This window comes from Homo sapiens, chromosome 4 (genome assembly GCF_000001405.40).
Source record: "Homo sapiens chromosome 4, GRCh38.p14 Primary Assembly".
NCBI classification, from domain to species: Eukaryota; Metazoa; Chordata; class Mammalia; order Primates; family Hominidae; genus Homo; species Homo sapiens.
Genome location: NC_000004.12, coordinates 205,029 through 232,572, shown reverse-complemented (window position 1 = coordinate 232,572; position 27,544 = coordinate 205,029). Strand labels below are relative to the sequence as shown.

General features: G+C 42.2%; 1 protein-coding gene and 1 pseudogene across 2 annotated transcripts in view; both read right to left on the bottom strand.

Annotated features, from left to right (window-relative positions):
• The window catches only part of ZNF876P (zinc finger protein 876, pseudogene), a 43,386-nt pseudogene extending 23,413 nt beyond the window's left edge, over window positions 1-19,973 (bottom strand). Inside the window, exon 1 of the transcript NR_027481.1 lies at window positions 19,792-19,973. The product of NR_027481.1 is annotated as a zinc finger protein 876, pseudogene (transcript). The remainder of the gene's footprint in view (window positions 1-19,791) is intronic.
• Window positions 12,930-14,017, bottom strand: LOC124900642 (zinc finger protein 141-like). The gene is made up of 2 exons (XM_047416470.1): window positions 13,795-14,017; window positions 12,930-13,279 (listed from the first exon to the last, which is right to left on the bottom strand). Exons 1-2 carry the CDS (start codon window positions 13,931-13,933, stop codon window positions 13,176-13,178), a joined length of 243 nt encoding a protein of 80 aa, XP_047272426.1. The 5' UTR covers window positions 13,934-14,017; the 3' UTR covers window positions 12,930-13,175.

Here is a 27,544-nt window from a genome sequence, read left to right as displayed (position 1 = left end):
AAAGCCAAAATATCTATTTCAGACAATAAATATGTCATTTAGGTATTATTTCCATAATAACAAATAGGTAATCATACATGAACATTAAGAAATGTCAAGTCCTATTCCATAAAATTTAACACTAAATTCAGACATCCAGATAACAAGATACAGAGCAGACTTATTCATTATCACAAATTCTCTACCATGCAGAAAAACTGATATTTTGGCACATCTCTGTAAATCACCAATTTATCTACCAAAATTTCTTCTAAAAATGTATTCACTTCTCCACAGCCATAAAGGAAGAGAACTGTTTCCTACTTTTGTTTATCCAGTAATATTCCCATAACTAAGCCCTGAGGTTCTGTATGAAACCATTCCCAAAATGTACAGATCCCAAAAACTTATTACACACTCTCAAGGGAAAAATGAAAGAATTTTTAAGAAATAAAATATGTCACTAGACATTTTTAAAATTCACATTCCTATTTTTCAAGCACTACTAATAAAATGCATTGTACAGTTACTAAAAGTGGAAGTTGAAATAAGTAAACATTTTTTCAAGATGACAAACCCAAGGAGTGGCAGTACTGGCTGGAATAATGATATGTCTGACTCAAGTGTCAAATCGGGCTGAATGTCTTATGATGTACGTCCTCCTACCTTCATCTTTCTCTTTGAAATACTCAATGACCAAGAGCCTCTGCACTTTGTGCCTCTGTGTGCCTGGAGTGCCTATTATTTATTTATTTATTTATTTTTGCAGGTCATCCATGCACCATCTTGCTAGAATGGACTTTCATTGTCTTTGGGGATACTATCTTTTTCTCCTTTCACAATTCTGAAAAAATCCAGATGATAGAAATTATTTCTGCCTTTCCCCTCAATATCAGACTTCCATTGGCTGAAGAGCAATGTGTCTCCAAAAAATGGAAACTGGATTGGGAGAAAGAAAATCTTGGACAGGCACGGTGGCTCACGCCTGTAATCCCAGCACTTTGGGAGGCCGCGGTGGGTGGATCATGAGGTCAGGAGATCGAGACCATCCTGGCCAACATGGTGAAACCCTGTCTCTACTAAAATACAAAAAATTAGCCGGGCATGGTGGCGCATGTCTGTAGTCCCAGCTACTTGGGAGGCTGAGGCAGGGCAATCGTTTGAACCCAGGAGGTGGACGTTGCAGTGAGCCGAAATTGTCCCACTGCACTCCAGCCTGGGCAACAGAGCAAGACTCTGTCTCAAAAAAAAAAAAAAAAAAAAAAAAAAAGAAAATCTTAATGCCACAAGGATGTGGCTTTTTGAATGAAGTGTAAACCACAAGAGTGCTCTGAGTACCAGGGCACCCAGCTGCTTCCGAGAGGGTCCACCCCACACCTCAGGCCGTCCACTATGATGAGATGCTGCAGTAACTGTTATGCCCTAACCACTCCAAGAGACATTGCTACCGTGGGCATCTGGGATCTTCCCCAGACAGTTCTGAAGCCTAGGACCAGGAAAAGACAACAGGATGGCTAAGGACAAATTACCTTGTAAAGTTGGGAACCTAAACCCAAAAACATTCTCATAAGATGTCTGCATCTGAAGAAGATAAAAGAAGAGGCACAAAGGATACACACTTTCACCACTGTTATTCAACATAGTACTAGAAGTGTTAGCTAGAGCAATGAGAAAGAGAAAAAAAAAGGCATCCAAATTGGAAAGGAAGAAGTCAAATTATCTTTGTTTGCAGATGATGTGGTCTTGTAGTTGGAAAAACATAATTCACTAAAACACTACTAGAATTGGTTAGTCAAGATATAAGATTAAAACTCAGTCAGACGCGGTGGCTCACGCCTGTAATCCCAGCACTTTGGGAGGCTGAGGCAGGTGGATCACCTGAGGTCAGGAGTTTGAGACCAGCCTGGCCAACATGGTGAAACCCCGTCTCCGCTAAAAAAAAAACTACAAAAATTAGCCAGGTGTGGTGGCTCATGCCTGTAGTCCCAGCTATGTGGGAGGCTGAGGCAGAAGAATTGCTTGAACCCAGGAGGCAGAAGTTGCAGTGAGCAGAGATTGTACCAATGCACTCCAGCCTGGGCGACAGAGCAAGACTCCGTCTAAAAAAAAAGTGTGTCTGTATGCTAACAGTGAACAATGTAAAAGCAAATCAAGAGAATAATCCCACTTACAATAGCCACAAATTAAAATTAAATATGTAGGAATTAAGCAAAGAAGTGAAAAATCTCTACAATTAGTACTATAAAACACTGATGCAAGAAATTTAAAAAGACAAAAAACTGAATAATATGTTATGCTCATGAATAGGAAGAATCAACATTTTTAAAATGTCCATACTACCCAAAGCAATCTACGGATTTAATACAATCTCTAGAAAAACATCAGTGACATTCTTCACAGAAATAGAAAAAACAATCCTACAATGTAGACAGAACCACAAAAGAATCAGAATACTACCCAAAGCCATTGTAAAAAGAAACTGGAGGAATCACAGTATTTGACTTTAAATGATACTACAGAGCTACAGTAATTAAAACAGCATGAAACTGATCAGTGAAACAGAAGAGAGAATGCAGAGACATATCCATGTATCTACAACCAACTTATTTTTGACAAAGGTGTCAAGAATATGTACTGGGAAAAGGAGTCTTCAATAAATTGTGCTACAAAAACTGAATATCCATATTCAGAAGAATGAAACTAGACCCCATCTCTTGCCATATAAAAAAATTAAATCAAAATGGATTAGAGACAAATCTAAGACCTCAAGCTATGAAACTCCTACAAGAAAACATTGGTGAAGCTCTACAGGTGAAGCCCAGGAAACTGGGGAAAGATGTCTTGAATAATACCCCGCAAGTACAGGCAACCAAAGCAAAAATGAAATGCAATCACATCAAGTTAAAGAGCTTCTAAACAACAAATGAAACAATTAACAAAGTTAAGAGAGAGCACATAAAACGAGAGAAAATATGTGTAAACTGCCCATCAGAAAAAAAATAATGAGAATACGTAAAGTGCACAAATAGCTCTATAGGATAAAATTGAATAATCTGATTATAAATGGGCAAAAATTTGAATAGACATTTCTCAAAAGAGGGCATACAAATGACAAAAAGGCATATGATGAGGTGCTCAACATCATTTATCATCAGATAAATGCAAACCAAATGACAATGAGATATTATCTTACTCCAATTACAACGGCTCTTATCCAAGTCGGGCAATAAAAAATGCCAATGAGGATGTGGAGAAAAGTGAACTCTGGCACTATCTTGGTGGGAATGTAAATTAGTACAACCACTATGGAGAAGAGTTTAGAGGTTCCTCAAGAAATGAAAAATAGAGCTACTATATTATCCAGCAATCCCACTCCTAAGTAGCTACATAAAAGAAAGGAAATCAGGACATCAAAGAGATATTTGTACCTCCATTTTTATTGCAGCCATTGTTCACATTATCCAAGATTTAGAAGCAACCTGTCTATCAACACATGAATGGATAAAGCAAATGTGGTACATACACACAATGGAGTACTTTTTTTTTTTTTCTTTGAGATGGAGTCTCCCTCTGTTGCCCAGGCTGGAGTGCAGTGGCACGATCTTGGCTAACTGCAAGCTCTGCCTCCGCCTCCTGGGTTCACACCATTCTCCCGTCTCAGCCTCCCAAGTAGCAGGGACTACAGGTGACCACCACCACACCTGGCTTTTCTTTTTTTTTTTGAGACGGAGTCTCACTCTGTCGCCCAGGCTGGAGTGCAGTGGCGCGATCTCGGCTCACTTCAAGCTCCGCCTCCAGGGTTCACGCCATTCTCCTGCCTCAGCCTCATGAGTAGCTGGGACTACAGGTGTCCGCCACCACGCCTGGCTAAGTTTTTGTATTTTTAGTAGAGATGGGGTTTCACCGTGTTAGCCAGGATGGTCTTGATCTCCTGACCTCGTGATCCACCCGCCTCGGCCTCCCAAAGTGCTGTGATTACAGGCGCTAGCCACCGCTCCTGGCCTTGTTTTTGTGTTTTTAGTAGACACAGGGTTTCACCATGTTGGCCAGGCTGGTCTGGAACTCCTGACCTCAGGTGATCCGCCTGCCTCGGCCTCCCAAAGTGCTGGGATTACAGGTGTGAACCACCACGTCTGGCCAATGGAGTACTTTTCAATCATAAAAAAGAATAAGATTCTGTCATTTGCAACAACATATATGGAACTAGAGATCATTATGTTTAGAGAAATAATCCAGGCATATAAAGGCAAACTTTGCATGTTCTGATGCATTTGCTGGAGCTAAAAATTAATTTCATGAAGCTAGAAGAACGATTGTTACAGAGGCTGGAAAATATAGTAGGGGGCTGGGAGGAAGTGAGGAAAGTTAATGGGTTCAAAAAAATTGGAAAGAGTAAGATTTAGTAGTTGCTAGTACAACAGAGTGACTATAGTCAAAAGCAATTTAATTGTACATTTTAAAATAAAAGAATGAAATCAGATTGTAAAACAAAGGACAAATAGTTGAGATAATGAATACCTATTTACCTTGATGTGATTTTTATGCACTTCTTGTCCATATAAAAAATCTCATGTAACCCACAGATATATATATATATATAGCTACTGTGTATTCACAAAAATTAAAAATTAAAATAATAAAAATATCAATTTAAATTGCAAAGCTTAAAAATAAAAATCACTGGTCCTCATTTCTTCATAGGTATATGACCTTAACATCATATTGATCACATTGCCTTTGTGGGAATTCCAAAACATAAGTAAGACTGTGTACTACTTCACTTGAGCAAAATGCCAAAAACATGTAGAAGAAAAATTTTATTAAAATTTTATTATGTCCGGCACAGCCTTACCTCCTGCCAATACAGCATGGTCAACAATGAGAAACTCCCAACTGTATGCTTCCTCAGAAGAGAAAAGATAAACGCAGAATATGTGCCCACATTTTTGGTTTTTGGGGTGCTGTCAAAGATGGGTTTTGTCTCCCCTGACATAGAGTGCTGAAGAAAAAGGTGGTATACTCTGGATGACAGCAGCTATGCATATTTTACATTACTGAAAGAAGCAATCCTAAAGACATATGAGAACTAAAGAGGCCAGAAGTGCTCAAAAATTGTCAAAAAGAGGAACATGAGAAGCATCATACATCCTGATTTTGAAAACCTATTATAAAGTTATGGTAATTGAAATACTTTATAACTGGATCAAAAAAAGACAATACCAGTGAAACAGAATAGAGCACGTAAATAATCCCTTGCATATGTTATCAAATGAAGAGTAATTTACACATCCATCATCCATATTCATTGTAGCATCATCTACAAAAGCAAATATGTGGGAAGAACCAAGTTTTCTTTTTTGTTTTTTTTTTTGAGACAGAGTCTCGCTCTGTTACCCAGGCTGGAGTGCAGTGGCATGATCTCGGCTCACTGCAAGCTCTGCCTCCCAGGTTCAAGTAATTCTCCTGCCTCAGCCTCCCAAGTAGCTGGGATTACAGGTGCCTGCAACCACACCCGGCTAATTTTTGTATTTTAAGTAGAGACAGGGTTTCACCACGTTGGCCAGGCTGGTCTCAAACTCTTGACCTCAGGTGATCTGCCCACCCAGGCCTCCTAAAGTGCTGGGATTACAGGCATGAGCCACCGTGCCCGGCCTAAGGATGCATTTTTGAGACTTTATTTATGTGCAAGAAGCTAGGCACAAAAAGATAAATACTATATAATTCCACTTATGTAAGGTACCTAAAGTAGTTAAACTGCTAGAAACAGAAAGTAGACTAAACTGTGTCAGGGCTAAGTGGAGAAGAAAATGAGTAGTTGTTGTTTCACAGACAACCTGTTAGAACACAAAATAACTCTTACGTTTTAAAACTTTAAGACCTAGATACATGTGCAGGTTTGTTATATAGGTAAACTTGTGTCATGAAGGTTTGTTGTACACATTATTTTGTCATCAAATTATTAAGCCTGGTACGCATTAAAGATTGAATTACACAATGCATCCTTTCATACCACATGGAATCAAACTAGAAATCAAAAGCAGAAGCAAAATTGCCAAATCCAAAAATATGTGAAACTTAACAGACTCTTGAACATACTCTTCTTTGTCAGAAGATTTAATATTTTTAAATGACAATACTACCCACAGTGATATTCAAATTCAATGTAATCCTGATGAAAATCCAAATGATACTTTTTAAAGAAATCTTTTTTAAAATTCTTACATTTACATGGAACATCAAAGGACCACTGTTAGCCTGAACATTCTTAGAAAACAAGAACAAAGTTAGAGGCACAACGCTTCCTTTGTTTAGAACAGATTACAAAGCTACATAAATAAAAACAGTGTGGTACTTGAAAGAAGACAAATAGTGATGGAACAGAACCCAGAACTTAAAGCCAAACCATGTTTGTGTATATGCTCAAATGATCTTCAACAAGGTTGCTGTGACCGCACAACAAGAAAAAGACAGTCTCTTCAATAAATGGTGTTGGAAAACTCTGTAACTACATGGGAAAAACTGAGGTTGGGTCCTACCCGCAAACCATATACAAAAGCTGTCTTGAATGAGTTAAATATTTGAATGTCGGAAATATACCTATACAATCTCTAGAAGAAAATACAGTAAGATTATGACCTTGGTCTCAGCAATGTTTCCTTGCATACAACATCAAATATCTGAGCAACAAATTAAAAAACTCAGAAAAATGGGACTACATTAAATTTATCTTTGCATATTAAAATAAACATTTCGTAAGAGTCCCACCTAAGAAAACAAATTAAAAAGCATATATTTGACAGAAGCTAACATCCAGAATAAACAACTTCAAGAAAATCAACAAATAGTAAGTAACATCATTAACAAATGAACAAGATAAAAATGGTTCTCCAAAGAGGAAATGCACACAGCAAACAATTATTGAAAAATATTTCCAATCTTTAGCAAAATGTAAAGCAAAACCACAATGAGGTATTATTGTGCATTAATTAGTATGGCCAATATCAAGCAAACAATGACAAATGTTGTCATTTGTCATGGAGGAATTGAAACCCTTGTGTACTGTTGGTGGAAATAAACATGATACAACCATCTGAAAAATGTATAAAGGTTCCTCCAGAAATTAAAAATGAAATTATTATATGACCCAGTAATCCCACTCCTTTTTTTTTTTTTTTTGAGACAGAGACTTGCACTGTTGCCCAGGCTGGAGTGCAGTGGCATGATCTCAGCTCACTGCAACCTTCGCCTCCTGGGTTCAAGTGATTCTTGTGGCTCAGCCTCCCAAGTAGCTGGGATTACAGGTGCACACCACCACACCTGGCTAATTTTTGTATTTTTAGTAGAGACAGGGTTTCACCATGTTGGCCAGGCTGGTCTTGAACTCCTGACATTAAGTGATCCACCTGCCTTGGCCTCCCAAAGTGCTGGGATTACAGGGGTGAGCCATGGTGCCCAGCCCCACTTCTGAGCATCTATTCAAAATATGCAAAGTATACCTGAAAGAAATATTTGCATATCCATGTTTACTGCAGCAATATTCACTGTATTAGTTTATTCCTGCATTGCTATAAAGAAATGCCTGAGCCTGGGTAATTTATTTTAAAAAGGAAGTTTCACTGGGTCATGGTTCTGCAGCCTGTACAGAAAGTGCAGCAGCTTCTGCTTCTTGGGAGACCTCAAAAAGCTTCCAATCATAGCAGAAAGCAAAGGGACGGTGAGTCATCTTACATGGTGGGAGCAGGAGTTAGAGAGATTGAGAGAAGAGGTGCCACATACTTTTGAAAAATGAGATCTCAGAACTCACTCACTATGTCAAAGACAGTACCAAAGGGGCTAAGCTAAACCATTCGTGAGAAGCCAACCCTATGACCCAACCACCTCCCACCAGGCCCCACTTCCAACATTAGGGATGGCAATTTGACATGAGATTTGAATGAAAATGCAGATCCAAACCATATCATTTACAAAAGCCAAAAACTGAAAAAACTCAAACATTCTTCAATGGATGAATGATTTAAAAAGATGTGGTTTATACATACAATGAAATATTCTTTAGCCCTCAATGAAAATATCTTGTGAGATGCTACAATAAGAATAAATCTTAAAGCCATTATTTAAAGTGAAATAAGACACCGACAAAGTGACAGTGTATGATTCCACTTTTATACAATATTTTGAGTAGTAAACTAGGAAACAGAAGTAGAAACATGCTTGCCTATGGTTAGGGTTGTGAAACCTCAGTGGAGCCAGAGATCAAGGAGGGTTATTTAGAAAAAGCAGGCCCTCACCCAGGTGGCTAACTCAAGGGCCCACAGACATGGCTACAGACAAGGAAATGGCACATTGAGCCTGGTGTTACTGAAGATTATGAAGCAGTTCTGCAACCTTTCTCAAACTCCTCTCAGCTACAGTCCACAAGTGGTCCTTCTCATTAAGAGACCTGCAGGGAGACACACCCAGCCATAACCCTGGAGGCAGGCTTGTATATCTTGGCCTCAGCTGTGCTCCCTGAAGCAGCCCTGTGACTCAGTTCTAGCCCTCACAGTCACTGTCTGTGGCCAGTTGTACACACTCAGGGACCCACATAGAGACTTGTGAAAACTGTTCCCAGGTAGTCAGTAGAAGCCAAACCCATTCATACACCTGATATTTGGCCCATCATATGCAGACAAACTTCAAACCCTACCCTGCTGCCTGCCATATAATGTCCTCAAGGATATTTAATGTTTCCATGGCCCAGAAAGAATCCATGACTGTCCAAATATCTGGTAACACAACGATCAAAGGCAGACCCCACAGCAGACCCAGCAGCACCCTTGTGACCCAGCTACAATCCTTCTTCTCTGCAACCCCAGAGGTAATCTCATCAGCCTGTGGACCAAACAAATGGGAGATCTTTACCTGTCAAAAATAGTTTATAGAAACTGTAATCATTGTTAGATCCTTCAAATGTACAGACACAGGGCTGCTTCAGAGACTACAGCTGAGGCCAAGATATGCAGGCCTGTCTGCAGGGCCACAGCTTCTATCTTAACATGTTACTGGAAGTTTCTTTCAGAACAATTGGGCGAGGAAAAGGGCAACAAAGCTCTACAGCTTGGAAAAGAAGTAAAAATGTTACTGTTTGTAGATAATATGATCATGCATATATATATAAAACCCTAGAGTAAAACAAGAAAAATTGTTTGAACTAATAAATGCATTCATTAAAGTATCAGGATACATAATCAACATACAAATACTTGTGGGTTTTTTTTTTTTTTTTTGAGACATGGTCTCACTGTGTTGCCCAGACTCATCTCAAACTCCTGTCCTCAAGTCATCCACCTGCCTTGGACTCTGAAAGTGTAGGGATTACAGAAATGAGACACTGCACCTGGCCCAACATACAAATATTTGTTGCATTTCCATACAGTAGCAACAAACTTTCCAAAAAAAGAAACAATTTCTATTTGCAATAGTATAAAAATAAGAAATTTAATTAAAATAAATTTAACCAATGAAGTAAAAAAATTATACATTAAATACAATAAGATTGATGACAAATTGAAGTAGACACAAATAAAGGAAATATATTCCATTAGGATAACTAACACTGTCAAAGTATCATATTATCCAAAATGATCTCTAGATTCGATGTGATCCCTATCAAAGTTTTAGGGGCATTTTTCACAGTAATAGAAAACACAATTGTAAAATTTAAGTGTAAGCTTAAAGAACTTTAAATAACCTGAGCAATCTTGAGAAAGAACAATGCTGGGGCATCATACTCTTTAATTTCAAATTTTATTTAAAGGTTATAGTAATCAAGAGTATTGTATGTGCATAAAAACAGATACAAAAGCCAATGGAACAGAATAGGGAGCCCAGAAACAAAACCAGAATACAAGGTAAACTAATCTTTGAAAAGGCCACCAAGAATATACAATGCAGAAAATACAGTCTTGTTGATACATGGTACCAGAAAAACTGGGTATCCACAAGTGAAAGAATAAAAGTAGAATATTTTCTTATACCATACCCCGAAATTAACTCAAAATGAAACACTTAAATGTAAGACATAAAACCTTAAAACTCCTCAAGAAAACATATATAAAAAAAAAAACCTTGTTAATATTGGTCTTGGCAATAGCTTTTTTGATATGACATCAAAAGCACAGCAACAAAAAATACAAACAAATGGGACTGCATCAAATTGAACAGCTTACACACAGCAAAGAAAAAAAATTTTTTAAACCCTACAACATAGGAAATTATTTGCAAGCCATATATCTAATAAGAAGTTCATATCCAAAATGTATAAGACACTTCTGCAATTCAAAGCAAAACAATAATAATAACCCATTCAAAAATAGACAAACCATACATATAAGGGAAATCGGTATGCTGTTGGTGAGATGTAAATAAATAAAGTCGTCATAAAAAACAGTAAAAAATAAAAATGGAAATATCATACAACCCAGCAATACCACTTCTGGGCATCCTACCAAAGGAAATAAAATTTGTACCTTGAAGAAAGATCTTCAGCCCTATGTTCACTGTAGTATTGTTTACAATAGCCAAAATATAGTATGTGTGTGTCTATATACAGACAGTAGAATACTATTCCGCCAGAAGAGAAGGAAATGTAGCCATTTACAACATGGATAGACCTGGAGGACGTTATGCTAAATGAAATAAGCCAAACACAGAAAGACAAAGAAACTCCTTGTTTTAAGTTAGATGAGAAATCTAAAAAAGTACACTCATAGAAGCAGAGTATAAAATGGTGGTTGCTAGTGCCTGAGGGTAGAAATATGAGGAGATGTTCAAAGAGTACAAATTTTTAGTTATAAGTTGAGTAAGTCTGAGAAATCTAATGTAAATTAGCATTAGATTAGCCAAATAGCATTGTGTTTATAGTTAGTAATACTGTAATGTATGCTTACAATTTGCTACTACAGTAGATCTTAAGTGTTCTTACTCCAAAAAAAATTGAGGTACTAGATGTGCTCATCAACTTGACTGTATTTTGTTTCACAGTGTACATGCGTATCAAATCATTACATTGTATACATTAAATATATAGTTATACCATTTTTATTTATCAGAAAAATCCATGTCACACAAACACAGATGTACAGTAAGTACTCAATGTTCAAAATAGGTTCTTGAAAACTGCGTCTTTAAATAAAACAATGTCGGTATATGACATTCAAACATAACCTTGTTTCTATCAATTCAACTATAGTAATTCTGCCTCTGGGTTTAAGCGATTCTCCTGCCTCAGCCTCCTGAGTAGCTGGGATTACAGGTGCATGCCACCACACCCGGCTAATTTTTTGTATCTTTAGTACAGATGGGGTTTCACCATGTTGGCCACGCTGGTCTCAAACTCCTAACCTCATGATCCACCCACCTCGGTCTCCCAAAGTTCTGGGATTACAGGTGTGAGCCACCGTGCTGAGCCAAAATTAGTTTTCTTAAACAATATATTGCTTCACTTACAGTTTCCATGAAACTATCAACAATGTTAAGTGAGAATTTACAATACACATATATAACTTATATGGGTGGGTGTATGTGTGAGACCCACATTTTTATATAGATATCAATAGATCTCAATGATGAAACCCCAGTAGGCTTCTTTTTTTTTTTTTTTTTTTTTTTTTGAGACGGAGTCTCACTCTGTTGCCCAGGCTGGAGTGCAATGGCGCCATCTCGGCTCACTGCAACCTCGGCCTCCCGGGTTCAGCGATTCTCCCACCTCAGCCTCCCGAGTAGCTGGGATTACAGGTGCCTGCCACCACGCCCAGCTAATTTTTGCAATTTTAGTAGAGATGGGGTTTTGCCATGTTGGCCAGGCTGGTCTTGAACTCCTGACCTCAGGTGATCCACCCACTTCAGCCTCCCAAAGTGCTGGGATTACAGGCGTGAGCGACTGCGCCTGGCCCCCAGTAGGCTTCTTACTAAAAGTATAAGATAATAGTTATTAAGAAATAATAATATACACTTAGCAGTGTTCTAAGCTAGTTAATGACAGTGCATTTAAGAAATCTTGAAGGTGAGTAGATACTTTAATCAAGTGGTGCCCAATGCTATGAATGTAAGAACATTTCACTTATCTGTTGCAGTAGCTATCATAAAAATTATTTATGAAATTTTTTTTAAAGTTCATCAGTTATCATTAGTGTTAGTGTATTTTATGTGTGGCCCAAGATAATTCTGCTTCCAATGTGGCCCAGGGAAGCCAAAAGGTTGGAAAACCATGCTTTAAACTATATTATAATTTGAAAATTTACACATCTAGAGTTTAAATTACAAATCTCAGTTTATACTAAATCAATAACATTTTGAAGTACAATCAACAATACATTTTTCATATTTAGGAAAATGCTTATCATTCTTATAAAATTGCTAAGAAAGAATTTTTGTAGAATTACATTTGCAACAGGATTAAAAATCACTAAGCAGAAAAGGTGCAACATCTGTCCCTAGTGTTCCTGGGATTTCTGAACCAAATTCCAATATGTCCACTACTTGCCTTACATATTTAGGCATGATACAAAATCAATATTTGAAAAAAATACGTTAACATAGAGCTCCTCAATAACACAATTATTCCTATATTTCCAAAAGCAATGGAACAGCAGTGAGATCATGCAGCCCCTTATAAGTGATAAAGTAGACATTGGCTATCCCTGTAAACTTGAAGGGAGATCTCTAAAGAAAAAAGAGGGCTGGGTGTAGTGGCTCATGCCTGTAATCCCTGCATTTTGGGAGGCCGAGGCAGGTGGATCACCTAAAGTCAGGAGTTTGAGACCAGCCTGGCCAACATGGCAAAACCCTGTCTCTACTAAAAATACAAAAATTAGCTAGGTGTATTGGCAGATGCCTGTAATCCCAGTCACCCAGGAGGCTGAGGCAGGAGAATTGCTGGAACCTGGGAGGCACAGGCTGCAGTGAGCTGAGATCACACCACTGTACTCCAGTCTGGGTGACAGAGCAAGACTCCATCTCAAAAAAAAGAAAAAAGAGAATTTTTAGAAGATTTAACAGCATGGGGCTGAAGATGCCCCTATTTGTGAACATGAGAAAAAATGCAGCCTTTTCAGAAATTATTTGCATTGAAGAAGTGCTTTCCAAAGTACATTTTAAGGCCTGACTTCCTTCATCACCTTTGGTCCCCTTGCCTGTGTCCTCTCCTTCATTCACTCTCACCTACCTGGGGCTTTGGCTACTGTCTCATGTGTCTTCCCATTAAAGGGCTCTTTTCTTTGCTCCAAACAGGTGATCAGGTCTGAGTTAAAGAGAGCAACACCTGTTTTATTTAAAAAATAAGATAAAATAACGTGACTACTGCTGAAGATTCTCCAATTACCAACCTAGTACTATGCTAAGAAGAAAAGAGAAATTATGGAAGATTCTAAAAAATTAATCCAAAAATTGTTTCCTGATAGGCTCTTTAGAATATTTAAGTGTTTCAAATCTGTGGGTTCTAAGTTCCACTACCCAGTACTACTGAATAAAAAAAATTGGTAAATTGGTACAAATTGGATTTTAAGATGTGGAAAACGATATTTTACAACACTGAATTTATAAAATTACCACTAATCTAGAGTGAAGGACAAAAATTCCCTCAATAAAAGAGAAGGTTTAGGTAAAGATGAAACATCTTAAAGATTTTTTTTACACCAGCAGACTCCCAATTTTTTCATGAAGAAACAAGGTGAAATTAATTCACGCAAAGCAGAAGCTCCCAAGAAACATTCTACAAAGGAAAAAAAATAAAACTCTGAGGGAATATTAGGAATTACACATGAAAGTTATCCTCACCCAGGGAGACCAGGTTTCTATAGTTCTCCAACATCACATCTCTATATACATTCTGCTGGGCAGGATCCAGACATTTCCACTCTTCTGGGGAGAATTCTATGGCCACATCCCTGAATGTTAAGAGTTCCTGAAAACACATATTTATCAAGTGACAGAGTTCTTTTTTTTGAGACAGAGTCTTGCTCTGTCACCCAGGCTGGAGTGCAGTGGTGCCATCTCAGCTCACTGCAAGCTCTGCCTCTCAGGTTCATGCCATTCTCCTGCCTCTGCCTCCCAAGTAGCTGGGACTACAGTTGCCTGCCACCATGCCTGGCTAATTTTTTTTTTTTTTTGTATTTTTAGTAGAGATGGGGTTTCACTGTGTTAGCCAGAATGGTCTCGATCTCCTGACCTCGTGATCCATCCTCCTCAGCCTCCCAAAGTGCTGGGATTACAGGCATGAGCCACCACACCCGGCCAGTGACAGAGTTCTTAAATTGACTACAGGAGAAATGAGTTAAGGGAGCTAGTTCTGACTGTAATTATCTGATAAAATAACTTTCAACACAGTCATGTTCTCTAAAGTATTCTATAACTCTTAGGAAAAATGATGGCACGCGAGCAATTACTGTTGCTGCAATGGAAATATGGGCTACACTGACCTGCTGCTACCAAAACCAAGCAGAGTAGACCCTGTGACTTCCTGGAACAAAGGGTAAACTCACCACTCATTAAAGTATCTGGAAGCCCTCATGCTTGACCCTGCCCTCACTGTAGAATCATGTTTTAGTTTAAAAAACAGGGATGTTTCCACCCAGAACAATAGACAGGATCTGTGGGGAGGGAACAAGTGACTGTTTCTCTTCAAACAGTCCATGTGATACTATTAGAAGACTCAGCTGAGAGTCACTTAGCTAAGCACTGGCTTTCAAGCTTCAATGTGCGTATAAATTATTTGCTATTCTAGGCCTCACTGTGACAAAATTCTGCAGGTTTGAAAAGGGTCCATGAATTATATAGCTTCTTATAGCAAGTCTCCTATTAATGCTGATATTCCTCCCCCTAGATCCATTATAGTACCACTCAGCTAGAGTAAGCAGGCACAGCACACAGGGTCCCTTACCCCAACACAAATACTTTTCATCTGAAGACCACCAATCGTCATCCTGAAACATGGCATTCTCTGCAGGCCCTTCAAAGGTTACAGAGGCTGGAGATGGTGGAAACGTCTGAGTAAGTCTGCATTTGAAAAACATGTGCACATGCATTAATGTGATCTTTATGGAGCATGTACTATGTGTGCAGAAGTATGTCACAGAGCACTCTGCTGGGAGGCTCACAGTATGTGTGTTAATTCTCATAACATCCTGGGAGATGGGTACTAAGTGTCCCGTAATTCCTAGGATTTTCCCCATTTATCTGCTTTTGTGTTTCAGGAAATTGGGAGCACCAGCTCTGGAGAGGCAGTAGGAGTAGCCACCCCAAACTCTTATCTCCTCTAAGCAGTTCTGTGAGAGATTTCAGTGTGGATTAGACCTGGACAAGATTCAGCAGAGGGTGGATCTGGGCAGGGTTGGGATAGAAGGTGGGTCCTAGGCTTCTGCTCTCTAGGCCACTAAATATTTTCAGTTTTGTTTTTCCTAAGCCTGCCCAAGAGAGATTTTATTCCCAGAGTTTGTGTAATTTTAATCTATTTTAGACACTTCCCTGTCTATATTACAACATACAATAAGAAGGAATTTAACCAAAACCCTTATGTTTTTCTAGACCAATTATATTAGAAGCTAAATACTTATTCTTAGCAAGCTAAAAACAATACAAATAATAACAACTTCTCTTCTGTCCAGAATAGCCCTTCAGGTGGAGGGATCAAAACTTACAAAATAACAAAAGGGAAGTAATGCAAATGAAGCTTAAGCTTCCTATGCAGTTTCTGTCTCTGTACTGAACACATGATGCTGAATTCAACCATTTATTCATGTGCTCTGGACTGCAAGTTCCTTGATGGGAGGGACCACAACTGCTTCGTCTCTTTTTCTAATGACCATATAAAATAGAAGCAATTAGCTTATTAATCAGTTTGAGTCTCCAGAACCAGAAAACTGGAACAACTCTTATCTGGTTATGAACCAATGAGATTCTTTCTGTGAGGGGAGGAACAAACCCTTGATAAGTCATTTCTCTTTCTCTGAAATGGAACCAGAATTAGACTTTCTTGTCAGACTGACCCCAGTCTGCTTTGGACATCCTCAAATGTCTCAAATAACTCACTGATGCTGGTGAGAGTGTCCTCAGTGACCCTGGGCTGAAGCCCCCCATAGTGATCCAGGCAGGAGAGACTGAGGCTGACTTTGTGGAGTGCAAACAGAAAACAGAACTGCCCTGGTAGAGCTGCAGATCCTGGATCCAGATGTGATGTGCACTGTCCCTGATCAGCTAACTCTGAGACAAGAGGAAAGATGAAAGTACTCCAGTACCCCAGTATACAGGATGGCATACTTGTGATTATGGTTGTGATTATGGCTCTGTATATTTTGTGGCCCTGACCTCTCACTGCTAAGGTGCGTGTTAACACCTACAGATTCTGCCACAGGATTCTGTTCACACCAGAAGCCTCTCACACAGGTGACAAGACCTGGAAAACTCAAAGACTCCACTCTGAAAGTGGGGTTTAAGAAGACTATGTTGACTTTTCATGATGCAGAAAATGCCTTCTGTGAGTTTTCTGTATGTCTTCAACCCAAAATCTGGCCCTGTCTTGTGACTCCTAGGCAGAAGCCAGCTTTTATGTGCAGATGCTAGGTGGGATCAATGCGCCTCTGCATTCTTGGGGATTACAGCAAACAGAGTAAAACCAGAGAGAGCCTCTCATGGAGGCTCCTTCAACACATTCTGAAGAATATTTCGACCTAAAAGGAAAAAGCTGGGGTAAATAAGTAGAGAGTTTATTTGGGCCAAAGCTTGAAGATTGCAACCTTGGGGTATATAGCTGCCCTGAATATACACTCCAATTAGAAGCAGTTACAAGTGTATTTTTAAAGGCAAAAAAGAAGGCAGAGAGGAGACTGATACAAAGTTGTTAGACATTCCTATTGATTTATAGAATTAAAATTGGTTAGTGGCTGGCTATATATGTTAAGCCACAGAGTGTGGGTTATAGTGTCCATTGTGGTATTATTAGGTTACTTTATAGCCACTGATGGCAATAGCAAGGAATTTCAAAAAACAAATAGTTCAAAGAGGGGAACAGTAGGACTGTGGTCTCATTTTAACAAGTCTCTGGGTCTGATAATTAAAAGAACTTGTATTTCTCAGATAAAAGTGCTGTTTTTCTCTCAAATCCCAGGACATAAATTCAGAATTTGGAACTGCACATTTAGGTCCTGGAGGGCTGGTGAGCTATGGACATTTGTGGGCATTTGGGCAAGGGGAGAAGGGACAGAATTGAAGTTATCAGGTTTAATCAATGCACATGTGTGATCCTGGTTGGGTGTATGGGCCCCATGATGTCTGAACCAGTGTCAGATCTGAAGATGCCAGGAGCACACACGGAAGTGGAATAACTGATGGCTGTCCTGAAAAGTTATTTTTGTAGAAATATAGTCTAACTGCTCTAGAAATGACTGTAGATCCCAAATAGAGAAACCTTTTTGTTTGCAGATTTGTGGAGCACTTTGCTGCACTTTGCCACAAAATTGTGGATTGTGGCTGGAATCCTTAGAAGGAAGGTTTTCTCTAAAGGGAAGCCTGGTGGGCACTTTGTGTATACCATCTGGTAATTCTGGACAGTGTTTGGAAAATATAACTAAAAGCAAAATCATCTCCAATCCTAAAATACTCTCCAAAATAATATTAGAGCAAGATAATGATTTGTTATTTAATTAAACCAAAATATGATGTACATCACAGGCAATCTACTAATAGATTGCAAATACAGAAAGAACGTCACCGTTAGTACTCAAGTACAAGACATGACAGCACCATTTGTCATACACAGTTTATAATAACGTCAACTAATTTGGGAGGTCATCTGGGTTTTCTAATTGGTAATATTAAAAACAAACAACAACAAAAAAACAAACACTTCCCATATCTTCATGATAGGACATAGTTTTGAAATGTGGAGCCAGGTACCTGCTGAAGGCAGCCTCCTACTCGCCTACAGAAACTGTGGCATAGGGTGTATATTCTTGCTATTCGCATTTCCTAGCAATAGTTCCCAGGTCCTAAAGACAGTTTTGAGTCAAAAAAGACAAATGACCTAGTTAACTGACAAAAATGATTTACATATTTTTCAAAGAAGCAGAGAAAATGTTTAAATATAAAAGTTTTCAAACTAAATGCTTTAAGAAAAGGGAGAAGAGCAAAAATTCTTCCCTCATTCTAAAGAGAAAGCATTAAGCCTCTTCTAATTTGTATTTGGTCCTACAACAGGCAAGTCTAAAGGCATGGTCTTGAACTCACTAACATCTGAATTCTTGTAGCACATGAGGGATGCACTTGAGCAAACTGTGTGCACAGGAAAGAGGATTTGTGGGTAAGAAAAGAGCATAAGAGAGAAAGGAGCTATCAAGAGCCTTGGGTGGGGGCAGGGCAGGATTGATGAAAGGACTGGTTTGTGCTACAGGTACAGGCCCAGGCAAGACTACGCTCTGACTGATTCCTGAGTCCATAAAGGCAGAGGAGATTAGGATCAGGTGGTCCAGAAGCCTGGGTAGGTGAAGAAAACAGATTCCTGCTGCAGATCTGGGGTTGAGATGAGCGTGGAGTCTTCTGGGCACTGTGTGTATTCTTAGGAGAAAACTGTAGGAGCAAAGCTGCCATGGCCACAATTCCTGAGGGTAGAACCCTGTCCTAGGACGCGTGTGGCCATGCGAATGCCCAGTGGGCGTGCTCAGGAGCGGGTTAGCATTGGGTGGCAGCCGGCAGCAGGGTGCGGGGAAGGGATGTTTCTCAGAACTCCTTTCCTCCAAGTTCTCAGTGCCCTCTCTACCCGGGAGGAGACCTGGAGGAACAGGACAGTGCGCAGCAGGACAGTGCATGTGCAGAACCCGGTCAGGTCTCCCGCGGACACCTGCGACTCCCCCCAGCCCAGGCTCAGCCATGTCTTTCTTCTGACAAAAAAACTTGCGGAGTTTCCTCAACACCAGTCAATGCTCCAACCCCAACGGGGTGTCCAGCAACTCACTAATGACACTACCCAGAGTCAGTGCTGACCCCACAAGCTCAGCGCTCTTCCTACAGCTGCCCTCCTGCAGACGCCAGTCCCTGCCTCTGGACACCCGTCTTCATTTCTGAACACCTGTCTACAAACCAGGGGCGCCCACACCCTCCTCAAGTTCAATAATGTGGCAGAACTACTCACAGAACTCAGCGAAGCGCTGTGCGCGCACACACTAGCGTATTCTAAAAGATGCTACTCAGGAACAGCCACGAGGAGGAGGCGCACAGGGCAAGGGGACTGGTGGGCAAGTTAGAGAGGGCGGGTGATTTGCTTTGCTTCCTCACACACCTCACAAAAGCCTTTCCTTCAAGACCCGCTGGCAGTCCTCAAACCATGAGCCAAGGCCTGCGCTGTCCCGTTAATGAGTCCCCATTTGCTCACATGAACTCTTATGTTTTGATGGGGCCTCGATCTCATTCCGAACAGGGTCAAGTAGGGATAGGACCCCCCCGGACCACAGCTGCTCCCACTCCGGCATCGCGCACGCGACGCAGGCGTCTTCCAGATGAGCTACTCCTCACCCCACAGCCCGGGGAAGGTGCGGGGCTGCGGGCGCAAAACTGCACAAGGAGGGCTGCAGGCTGGGCCAGAGCAGCCTTGCGGGGACCCCGACAGGAGCGCGGGTCCCCCGACAGGAGCGCGGGTCCCTCACCGGAGGGGACTGAGGACCGAGGGCTGAGCGGCGGCAGCGGGGACTCCGTTCGCAGACTGGGTACCGCTGCCGCCATTTCCCGCTGGTTCCGATAAGGCCTCCCCGCCACGTCGCCTCCGGACGCCCTGCCCGGCACACTCACCATTTCCCGGCTTCAGGGATGTCGTAGAGTCTTAGCTACGAATCATCCAATACCCGCAGGTCACAGAGCGACGGAGGCTGAGGCTGTGGCCGAATCACTGAGGCCTCCCTGAGGGGTGGAAGCAGGTCGGTGAGGCCCTAACCGAGCTCAGGCAGAAGCCTGACGCAAAAGCGGCGCCAGATCCCGGATGCCGCCCCCTCCTTTGCCTGATTGGGCAGTTCTCAGTCCAGCGCCCTCATTGGATACAACTACTAGCTCTACGCCCTCAAGCTTTGAGTGACAGAATTCGAGTGACAGAAATTCGACCATACACTTAATGAGGCAAGACTGACAGACTCGTGTCTCCAGGTACTTTCAGGCAGGGCTTTCTGTGCTAGGCCTGGCTCTGTTGGGGGTTCATTTTTAAACTTCTGTTGTGTGAGGTTACGTCCGTTTATAAATTGTGCACGCACGCGCACGCACACACAGACACACTTGTTCACAAACGGAAACAATATAATCACAATTATTTTAAAATTTTAGATCTCATAACCTTTCTGGCCTCTGGTCTTTTGAGTAGGACACCTGAGATTTGAAGAGAGAAGCAAGTCTCTAAAAAATAAAATGTTGGCTATTTGTGAATTTACAATTTTTCATTGGCCACATCCAAACTAATAAAAATAAACAAGTGAAATTGTTTATGATAATTGTAACCTATTGTATCCAAAATATTATTGTTTTAATACATGATCAATATATAATTAGAAATAAAGTATATTTCTGGTCTAATTCTTCTAAACTCACTGTGCATTTTTTGTTTGCAGCACATATTACTTCAAACCAGCCACATTCCAGGTACTCAGTAGCTACATATGGCAGGTGGCCACCACATTGAGTGCAGCCATGAGGGCTCTAACCTCAGGGAATTGAGGGCCTGGACACCTCTTTTCTGTTGGAAGTGAGGGAACAACCTCTCTACCAACTTTTCTTCTCAGGCTCAAGGGTGGGTGGGACAGTGCCCCTAGAGAGAGCAGAGGCTGCAAGCTGAGAGTGTCCACGTGAATATCACGGTCTCCTAGTTGCTCTTTGGTGCTGGTGTGGTGGTCTCCTCAGTTCAGCCAGGTTCAGGCTCTCGTCCCATGACCTGGAAAAATGAGGCACATGGACACCAGAGAGTGAGAAAGCAGAGTAGGATTTATTAAGCAAAAGGAAAGCTCTCAGCAGCAAGAGGGGACCTGAAAGCAGGTTGCCAGAAATGGGGCTGAGTTCTGGGTCTTTTATGTGGCAAGAACGAGGAAGTCTTCTGTGGGTTCTACCCAAATGGGACGGGTCAAGTTCCCCACCAAGGGTGTTGCATCTGCGCATGCCTGGGGTTGACCACAGTGACTCCATTTTGGTTATTACCCATGAGTGCCTAAGGGAAACTTACAGGGGAGAAGCTAAAACCACAATGCTAATACCATGTTAATGACTTTACAATGAGCTGGGTGAAGACAAGGAAATTTAGGTTGATTTATTTTGCCTATGTCTAAGCTGGGATAGTCCCATCTGAGCAACATCCTGGCATAAGAGGAAGTTCTTAACCACATTTCTTCCCACTAGCTACAGGGGCGGGGCAGGTGCAGTCCCACAGGTGCTTTTCCTCTCCCGAGACCCTCCGTCCCTATTTTCCTAACCAGCCTCGACTGCCTTCTCTCTCGGGGGTTGAGCTGGTTAGAAATTTAGGCTGGGCTTAGCTGGGCCATTCTTCTGGGCTCAGTTTGGCTCCTTCAGGTGTGAGTGGTCAGCTGCTGGTGAATTAGGTGGCTCTGCTTCTGGGAGTGAGCTGTCTGTAAACTGGCGCACTTTGGCTTTTCTCAGCATGCTATTTTATCCTACAGAAAGCTAAAATGGGCTTGTTTTCATGGACATGGAAAAATTCTGAAAAAGATAACAGAAGCATTTAAGACCTTTTGAGCCTGGGCCCCAAACTGGCACACTGTCATATGCACAGCTTCGGCCTGTGCAAATAAGGAAGATTCAAGGTTTGGGAAACAGAATCTGTCTGTTGATGGGAACCACTATAAAAGCCATTTCCAAGAATATGAATACAATAAGAAAAATTTTTTTAATTTCTGTTTTTGCAATCAATTTTGTTTTGTCTTTTCTTGCAGGTAAGTATAAAACTCTCCCACATCTACTAAGCAGCTGGCTTGGACTCAGGATCAACGTTGTCTCTGAAGCCCATGCACCTCCATAGACCACACTACTCAGCCAGGTTTCCTGGTCCTTCAAGGGGCTAAAGAGTTACATTTCTGAAATAGAAGCAAGATTTTTTTTTGAGAATCTCATTCCATCCATCCAGTACTCTTCACCATTGGAAATAATTCACTCCAGGGAATGCTTCTGAAGTCTCTTGGAAAAACTGGAAATGATTTGAGGAAATGGCTAAGCATTGAGTGTAGGAAATTAATGCCCAACATTACATTTTAATTTCTTATCATAGGATAAATATGAAAACACCTATAATGCACTCCACATATCTGCAAACCCTTTGTGTCATTATTCTGTATTGGTAGGATACTTGTGATTTATTTTATTTTATTATTATTTTTTTTTTGAGACGGAGTCTCGCTCTTTCGCCAAGGCTGGACTGCAGTGGCGCTGTCTTGGCTCACTGCAAGCTCCGCCTCCTGGGTTCAGGCCATTCTCCTGCCTCAGCCTCCCTAGTAGCTGGGACTATAGGCACCCGCTACCACACCCGGCTAATTTTTTTTTTGTATTTTTAGTAGAGACGGGGTTTCACCGTGTTAGCCAGGATGGTCTCGACTGCCTGACCTCGTGATCCACCCGCCTCGGCCTCCCAAAGTGCTGGGATTACAGGCGTGAGCCACCGCGCCCAGCCTGTGATTTTTAATACAGACTAAATCAACTTACTGTGCCTGAAAAAACTTTTGCTCTGAAGGCAAGTGACATAGAGATAGAGCTGCTGATATTTTTCCCTGTTGCAATTTAGCCAACCAGCAGAGTATGTTTTGAAGGGCCAAGATGTTTTCTAAGACCCCCATCTAGGAGCAGCTATATGGCAAATGCCTAGAGCACACATAGAAATCACACACAACCAATGCATTCCTGACCCTGAATCAATGCTTCTCACCCTTGGGTGCACATTAGAATAAACTGCTGTGCATGTGGGTGGTGTTGTTTAATGTTCCCAAACCCAAGTTGCAAGGGAATAATTAAGCCAGAATCTCTAGAGTGAGACCCAGGCAGCAGTGTGATTTAAAGCTCTCCCGGTGATTACAATATGCAACCATACTCCAAAATGTCTGCTGTAAACCAACATCTTTCAGAGAACCAGTTGAAAATATTTCTCAAATTAATGTAAAACGTGTTTGCTGTTGAGTTGTGGCCTTTCAGTCTTACTCGTATTACCCATATTCTATCCTTTGCAAAACTGACCTCTGCTACTTGTTTTGTTCCTGATTCAAACCAGTTCCACACATACTGAGTGCACACTGTGTGCAGCCCACTGTGCTATGTGAATATTGTTGTGGAGGAAGGACTTTGCTGTAAGAAATTTACATTCCCCAAAACTAAAACCATGTTACTTACTCAATTGAAATAAAAAATGAAAGACTGAGGGGGACGCCCAAGGGTCAGGACATGAGTAAATACCTTGGAATATTAGTATCCATCTCATGATGCCTGAGTGTAAATGCCCCACTTTCAAACAAAACAATACCAAGCATTGCTATTATTCTGAAATATTAAGTTAGGATTAAATAATATTTAAAATTTTATTGATGTATAACACGCATACAGAAATATATGCACAATAAAATATTAATGTAATGCTCAATAAGTTGTAACAAAACTAATACATTGCATAACTATAGAATAGAACTACCCCTGTTTTTGCCCACAAACCACTTCCTTTTTTCCTCCTCCCCAAACCTAATCATGATCTTAAGAGCTAATGCTATAGTTTTTCTTTTTATACAAGTGTTTTATTAGAGAATATTTTAACTTATACACAATAACCAAAATAGTATAATATGGGGGAAAAAAAGAGAGATCAGACTGTTACTGTGTCTATGTAGAAAGAAGTAGACATAAGAGACTCCATTTTGTTCTGTACTAAGAAAAATTCTTCTGCCTTGAGATGCTGTTAATCTGTAACCCTACCCCCAACCCTGTGCTTGCAGAAACATGTGCTGTGTCAACTCAAGGTTTAATGGATTGAGGGCTACGCAGGATGTGCTTTGTTAAACAAATGCTTGAAGGCAGCATGCTTGTTTAAAGTCATCACCACTCCCTAATCTCAAGTACCCAGGGACACAAAACACTGTGGAAGGCTGCAGGGACCTCTGCCTAGGAAAGCTAGGTATCGTCCAAGGTTTCTCCCCATGTGATAGCCTGAGATATGGCCTCATGGGAAGGGAAAGACCTGACCATCCACCAGCCCAACACCCATAAAGGGTCTGTGCTGAGGAGGATTAGTAAAAGAGGAAGGCCTCTTTGCAGTTGAGATAAGAAGAAGGCATCTATCTCCTGCTTGTCCCTGGGCAATGGAATGTTTCAGTGTAAAACCCAATTGTATATTCCATATACTGAGATAGGAGAAAACCGCCTTAGGGCTGGAGGTGAGACATGCTGGTGGCAATACTGCTCTTTAATGCACAGAGATGTTTACGTATGTGCACATCAAAGCACAGCACCTTTTTCTTAACCTTGTTTATGATACAGAGACATTTGTTCACATGTTTTCCTGCTGACCCTCTCCCAACTATTACCCTATTGTCCTGCCACATCCCCCTCCAAGATGGTAGAGATAATGATCAATAAATACTGAGGGAACTCAGAGACTTGTGCTGGCCTTGGTCCTCCGTATGCTGAGTGCCAGTCCCCTGAGCCCACTTTTCTTTCTCTATACTTTGTCTCTGTGTCTCTTTCTTTTCTCAGTCTCTCATCCCACCTGACCAGAAACACCCACAGGTGTGGAGGGGCAGGCCACCCCTTCAGTATAAGATGATGCTCAGCCTCAACATCTACTAATTATGCCCTATTTCTGTTTAATTTCTACTTCAACTCATTCCCTATCCCCTCTTTATTGTTGTTTTTAGTTATTTTTGTAAGATAAGATGTATATGCATTGAAACATAGTCTTTACTGTACATTTTTGACAATCAATATATCTATATATTCTTTTCCCTTTCATTTATAGAATTACTGCCAGTTAAAATTATCAGTGTGCATGTGAATCACCTGAAAATATTATTTGAAATCCAAATTTTGATACAATGTATCTGGGTTTTGCCTGAAAAACCCAGTGTCCTGTCTAGACCAAGGGTCGTGGGTTGAAGCAGGGCCTGAAGGGTGTGCTAGCAACATCACCTTGCCCTTGCCTGACCCCACCCTCACCCACCTGTGACTCACCTCTGGGGCCAGAGGCAGGGAGGGGAGGGTCATTTTGGCAAATGAGGGGTCTGTGCCATGCAAAGATTCTTGCCCCTTTAGAAATGAGCGAGGGTGAAAACATCATGGCCTCCAGCATCTACATGCACATCTCCCCTGAGCCCACATGGCCACCAAGAGGGCTGCTGATGGCCTCTTGTCCCCCAGTAAATTGCCCCACCTCCAGATGGACCACAGCAAAGTCAAGGGAAATTCTGTCTGGTCCTTGTTTCTGCTTAGCCACTTCTGAGCTCTGTAGCCTTGCACAGGCCTTTGCCCCTCTCTGAGCCTAAGTTTTCCACCATATGATGGGGATATTTACACAAACCACACACACAATGAAGGTGAAAAGAGAGAACAGGCAAAATGACCTCATCTGCCAGGGAGTCAGTGCTCAGATAACTCTCATGCTCTGGGGTGGAATATTTCTTCAGAGACAAAGAGCTTGAGGATCCAGGACCTGGGCCTGCCACTGACCTGCTCTGTGACTCTGAGACAGTGGCTTCCCTTGTCTGAGCTCAAATTCCCACTGGACAGGCTGCTCTAACCTTCTGTGTCCCTGGGCTGGGAAGGGAGTTAGTCCTCCCCACCTTGTAGGGGAGCCCTTGACCATGGTTGAATGCAATCTGGCCCCACTGTCCTGCCTCATTGGAGCAGTGGGAAAAGGTGAACACAAAACCCAGACCCCACTGATCTGGGAACAGGCTCTTCTTGAATTTGTCAGGGACCTTCAGGAATTTGTCACCAGTTAACCAGCCTGTGACTCTGTCCACAAGCTGCCCCTTCTGCATGGATGCTGCTGTCCACTGCCACTCTAAGACACCTCTGATGCCTTCCCATGGAAGGATTCTTACACACATGCACACTCACACTCACACACACACACAAAGTCACATACACACAGTCTCACACACAGTCTCTCAGTCTCACAGACACACACACAGAGACACATATGCTGTCACACACATAGCCACACAGTCTCCCACACCACCCACAGAGTCACACACACGCACTCATGCAGTCACTCACTCACACATGAACTCACACACACACTCATACCCACACACAGTCACACAGTCACACACAGTCATACACAGTCACTGACGCAGAGTCAAAAAAACACAGTCACACATACACACAGTTCATACATACACACAGTCACACACAGGATCACACACATACATCGTCACACACAGTCACACACAATCTCACACACAGTCACCCACACACACACAGTCACACACACAGTCACACACAGTCATACACTCACAGAGTCACACACACAGTTACACACACACACACACGGCCCATACTTCCTCCAGGCTCACAAATCGCCCCTCCACAAACCCTCCCTTCACGGCCACAGCCTGCATGCCAACATCAGTCCGTCCTCACAGAGCTGAGTTGGGTGTGCAGCCCTCCCTGACGTGGGAAAAGCAGGTTTAGGGGAGTCAGTCGCGCATCCCCAGTGCCCTACAGGCCTCACACCGGCTGGGGCAGTGACCCTGGATGGGGAGCGCTTTGGTGTGGGTCACCATTGCTGAGGACACCCTCCTTGCCAGGGAGTGGGGTCCTGGGGGTCCTGGGGGTCTGGGGGGCGGGTCTCTGACTGCTGTAAACAATAGGTTGGTGGTGTCCACGCAGCAGGCAGCAAATACTCAGGAAGTGAGCGTCCTGTCTTTGGCCTCAGCTTTGTGTCTGTAGAATGGGGGTGAGGGGACTCAGGACTCGGAGCGCTGTCGGGTGGGGCGAGGTAGGATGAGAGTGTGTCTCCCTCCCCAAGCTCACCCAGAGCTGTGCGGGGTGGGATGGCCCCAGGATCCTTGGTTCCAAGCAGCTCCTGGTGGCCCGCCACCCCCACCCTGGCTGTGCTGCACAGCCCTAGTCCTCATTGGCCCCACTGCACAGTCGCTTTGAGGTTGGCCGGGGTCTGCCCTGCGATGGCGATGCTGCAACTGGGGTGTTGCCAGGGCCACCAGGGGTATTGGCAGGACCTGGCAGTGGCGGCGAGGACTTGGATTCCGGAAAGGTGGGAGGGCCGTGCCCCTAGCCCAAGCCCCACCTGGACTGGCCACTGTCAGCCAAGCCAGGGCCGGGGCGGACAGCATGGGCATTGAGGGCAAAGCTGGGACCACACCCCTGGGTGACCCCGAGCTGCGGAGCCCCGCAGGGTGGAGCTGGGTCTGGCCACACAGGCAGATGGCATCGCGGGTGGGCCAGAGCCCAGGACGCACCCAGGAGTCCAACCTCATGGCACTGCACAAGCTAGGGAATGGGGCTTGGGACAGCACCAAGGCCGCCCCAATGCCAACACTCCCGGGAGACCCCATGGGCTGCC